This window comes from Homo sapiens, chromosome 2 (genome assembly GCF_000001405.40).
Source record: "Homo sapiens chromosome 2, GRCh38.p14 Primary Assembly".
In the NCBI taxonomy this organism is placed as follows: Eukaryota; Metazoa; Chordata; class Mammalia; order Primates; family Hominidae; genus Homo; species Homo sapiens.
Window position 1 is genome coordinate 64,253,553 of NC_000002.12, and position 5,018 is coordinate 64,258,570.

At 45.0% G+C, this 5,018-nt stretch overlaps 1 annotated feature.

The window, feature by feature from the left end:
* Window positions 3,509-4,209: an enhancer, noted in NCBI's record as "OCT4-NANOG-H3K27ac hESC enhancer chr2:64484195-64484895 (GRCh37/hg19 assembly coordinates)". NCBI's record gives its function as "activates a minimal SCP1, AML or CMV promoter by ChIP-STARR-seq in naive H9 embryonic stem cells {active_cell/tissue: H9 hESC(naive)}" and the evidence as "EXISTENCE:reporter gene assay evidence [ECO:0000049][PMID:30033119]".

A 5,018-nucleotide genomic window follows, 5' to 3' on the forward strand; every position in this document is an offset into this window, starting at 1 on the left:
GGGCAAGAACCCCCCAACCGCTTATTTCCGCACCCCAACCTCTTATCTCTGCACCCCAATCGCTTATTTCCACGCCCCAACCTCTTATCTCTGTGCCCCAATCCCTTATTTCCGCACCCTGACCTCTTATCTCTGTGCCCCAATCCCTTATTTCCGTGCCCCAACCCCTTCTCTGCTTTTCTAGAGGGCAAGAACCCCCCACCCCTTCTCCATGTCTCTACTCTTTTCTCTGGGCTTGCCTCCTTCACTATGGGTAAGCTTCCACCTTCCATTCCTCCTTCTTCTCCCTTAGCCTGTGTTCTCAAAAACTTAAAACCTCTTCAATTCACACCTGACCTAAAACCTAAATGCCTTATTTTCTTCTGCAATGCCGCTTGACTCCAATACAAACTCGACAGTAGTTCCAAATAGCCAGAAAATGGCACTTTGAATTTTTCCATCCTGCAAAATCTAAATAATTCTTGTTGTAAAATAGGCAAACGGTCTGAGGTGCCTGATGTCCAGGCATTCTTTTACACATCAGTCCCTTCCTAGTCTCTGTGACCAGTGCAACTCATCCCAAATCTTCCTTCTTTCCCTCCCGCCTGTCCCCTCAGTACCAACCCCAAGCGTCGCTGAGTCTTTCTAATCTTCCTTTTCTACAGACCCATCTGACCTCTCCCCTCCTCGCCAGCCCAAGCTAGGTCCCAATTCTTCCTCAGCCTCCGCTCCTCCACCCTGTAATCTTTTTATCACCTCCCCTCCTCACACCTGGTCCGACTTACAGTTTCGTTCTGTGACTAGCCCTCCCCCACCTGCCCAGCAATTTACTCTTAAAAAGGTGGCGGGAGCCAAAGGCATAGTCAAGGTTAATGCTCCTTTTTCTTTATCCCAAATCAGATAGTGTTTAGGCTCTTTTTCATCAAATATAAAAACCCAGCCCAGTTCATGGCTTGTTCCGCAGCAACCCTGAGACACTTTACAGCCCTAGACCCTAAAAAGTCAAAAGGCCATCTTATTCTCAAAATACATTTTATTACCCAATCTTCTCCCGACATTAGAACTCCAAAAATTAAATTCCAGCCCTCAAACCCCACAACAGGATTTAATTAACCTCGCCTTCAAGGTGTACCATAATAGAAAAAAGTTGCAATTCCTTGCCTCCACTGTGAGACAAACCCCAGCCACATCTCCAGCACACAAGAACTTCCAAACGCCTGAACCGCAGCTGCCAGGGGTTCCTCCAGAACCTCCTCCCCCATGAGCTTGCTACATGTGCCGGAAATCTGGCCACTGGGCCAAGGAAGGCCCGCAGCCTGGGATTCCTCCTAAGCCGTGTCCCATCTGTGTGGGACCCCACTGAAAATCGGACTGTTCAACTCACCTGGCAGCCACTCCCAGAGCCCCTGGAACTCTGGCCCAAGGCTCTCTGACTGACTCCTTCCCAGATCTTCTCGGCTTAGCGGCTGAAGACTGACACTGCCCGATCACCTCGGAAGACCCCTAGACCATCACGGACGCCGAGCTTCGGGTAACTTTCACAGTGGAAGGTAAGCCCGTCCCCTTCTTAATCAATACAGAGGCTACTCACTCCACATTACCCTCTTTTCAAGGGCCTCTTTCCCTTGCCTCCATAACTGTTGTGGGTATTGATGGCCAGGCTTCTAAACCTCTTAAAACTCCCCAACTCTGGTGCCAACTTAGACAATACTCTTTTAAGCACTCCTTTTTAGTTATCCCCACCTGCCCAGTTCCCTTATTAGGCTGAGACACTTTAACTAAATTATCTGCTTCCCTGACTATTCCTGGACTACAGCTATATCTCACTGCCGCCCTTCTTCCCAATCCAAAGCCTCCTTTGCGTCCTCCTCTTCTATCCCCCCACCTTAACCCACAAGTATAAGATACCTCTACTCCCTCCTTGGCGACCAATCATGCACCCCTTACTATCTCATTAAAACCTAATCACCCTTACCCCACTCAACGCCAATATCCCATCCCGCAGCACACTTTAAAAAGATTAAAGCCTGTTATCACTCGCCTGCTACAGCATGGCCTTTTAAACCCTATAAACTCTCCTTACAATTCCCCCATTTTACCTGTCCTAAAACCAGACAAGCCTTACAAGTTAGTTCAGGATCTGCGCCTTATCAACCAAATTGTTTTGCCTATCCACCCTGTGGTGCCAAACCCATATACTCTCCTATCCTCAATACCTGCCTCTACAACCCATTATTCTGTTCAGATCTCAAACCTGCTTTCTTTACTATTGCTTTGCACCCTTAATCCCAGCCTCTCTTCGCTTTCACTTGGACTGACCCTGACACCCATCAAGCTCAGCAAATTACCTAGGCTGTACTGCCGCAAAGCTTCACAGACAGCCCCCATTACTTCAATCAAGCCCAGATTTCCTCCTCATCTGTTACCTATCTCGGCATAATTCTCATAAAAACACACGTGCTCTCCCTGCCAATCGTGTCCAACTGATCTCTCAAACCCAAGCACCTTCTACAAAACAACAACTCCTTTCCTTCCTAGGCATGCCTTTCTGTCCAAACAACTTGACCTTACTGTTTTAGCCTAGCCCTCAAGTCTGTGTGCAGTGGCTGCCGCTGCTTTAATACTTTTAGAGGCCCTCAAAATAAGTAGAGGCCTTTCCTACAGGGTCTGAGAAGGTCACCGCAGTCATTTCTTCCGTTCTGTCAGACATAATTCCTCAGTTTAGCCTTCCCACCTCAGTACAGTCTGATAACAGACGAGCCTTTATTAGTCAAATCAGCCAAGCAGTTTTTCAGGCTCTTAGTATTCAGTGAAACCTTTATATCCCTTATGGTCCTCCATCTTCAAGAAAGGTAGAATGGACTAAAGGTCTTTTAAAAACACACCTCACCAAGCTCAGCCACCAACTTTAAAAGGACTGGATAATACTTTTACCACTTTCCCTTCTCAGAATTCAGGCCTGTCCTCGGAATGCTACAAGGCACAGCCCATTTAAGCTCCTGTATAGACGCTCCTTTTTATTAGGCCCCAGTCTCATTCCAGACACCAGACCAACTTAGACTGTGCCTCAAAACAAACAAACAAACAAACAAACTTGTCATCCCTACTATTTTCTGTCTAGTTCATACTCGTATTCACCGTTCTCAACTACTCATACATGCCCTGCTCTTGTCTACACTGCCAGTTTACACTATTTCTCCAAGCCATCACAGCTGATATCTCCTGGTGCTATCCCCAAACTGCCACTCTTAACTCTTGAAGTAAATAAATAATCTTTCCTGGCAGGACTATGGTGAATCTCCTTAAGCACTCTCTAATCAGACATCCTGAGTCGTCCCAATTCTTAGACCTTTTATACCTGTTTTTCTCCTTCTGTTATTCCATTTAGTTTTTCAATTCATACAAAACCGTATCCAGGCCATCACCAATCATTCTATATGACAAATGTTTCTTCTAACAACCCCACAATATCACCCCTTACCACAAGACCTCCCTTCAGCTTAATCTCTCCCGCTCTAGGTTCCCACGCCGCCCCTAATCCCGCTTGAAGCAGCCCTGAGAAACATCGCCCATTCTCTCTCCATACCACCCCCCAAAAATTTCACCGCCCCAACACTTCAACACTATTTTGTTTTATTTTTCTTATTAATATAAGAAGGCAGGAATGTCAGGCCTCTGAGCCCAAGCCAAGCCATCGCATCCCCTGTGACTTGCACGTATACACCCAGATGGCCTGAAGTAACTGAAGAATCACAAAAGAAGTGAATATGCCTTGCCCCACCTTGACTGATGACATTCCACCACAAAAGAAGTGTAAATGGCCGGTCCTTGCCTTAACTGATGACATTACCTTGTGAAAGTCCTTTTCCTGGCTCATCCTGGCTCAAAAAGCACCCCCACTGAGCACCTTGCGACCCCCCACTCCTGCCCGCCAGAGAACAAACCCCCTTTGACTGTAATTTTCCTTTACCTCCCCAAATCCTATAAAACGGCCCCACCCTTATCTCCCTTTGCTGACTCTCTTTTCGGACTCAGCCCGCCTGCACCCAGGTGATTAAAAGCTTTATTGCTCACACAAAGCCTGTTTGGTGGTCTCTTCACACGGACACGCATGAAATTTCACAGTCATGAATAGTGATTTTTTGGTTTCTGTTTTTGTGATTAACTTCTGCAAATTTGTCAATGACTTTGTCAGAGTTATTTTTCTTCCCATATTCATGAAGTTTCTATCTATCTTTGATCAAGGAACATTTTTCATTAATTTTATTTTGAAAGCTTACTTTCACATGAAGGAACAGATTAAAAAAGTAAGAAAAAGCCTTAAACATAAGGATACATTTGGCAGAAATACGTAAAATCTCATTTCACAATAAATTCCAGAAAATTTAAACACAATAAAAAACTCCGGCAGTCACATAGAATGACAGAATTGAAGTAACTCAAGTTCTGTTTGTCTTTACCATCGCTGAGCTATCATTGTTTATTTCAATCAATTGTTTGAAAACGGGAATATGTAGTACAGTACCAGGGAGGCTGAGACACGAATTGTGCCCAAAGCAAGCTTTGTTTTGTACTTACTCTCAAAATAAATGCATGGAGTTAATTCTCTGAATCAACTCCCATGTAGAATGCAATGTTTACTAAGGAAGGCACAATTTTAAAAAGTGCTGAGTTGAAGCATACATTTATATTCCTAAAATTCAACTGCAACTTCAGCGATTGTGTAGAACCTAGACCAACAAAACATTTTTTTTGGTGTTGGGGAGAGCAGTTTATCACTGATATTGTTTAGAATTGCTTGCAGTGGTGATAATAAAAAGCACGCTGGCTTTCAGTGGGTTTTATTATTGTTTTTAAGTCCCTTCCAGGCCATGGACCCCTTGATTGCCTGCCCTGGGGGGTGGACCCATCTTCTTGCCCTGCCCTTGGGACCACACTGCAGTGGAATTAGCTTAAATCATTAGCTTAAATGCCTCCTTTGTCATAAAAACATTGGTGATTCCTGCAGTTTTGTGCACTATTTGTGCTAGCTCTTGTGT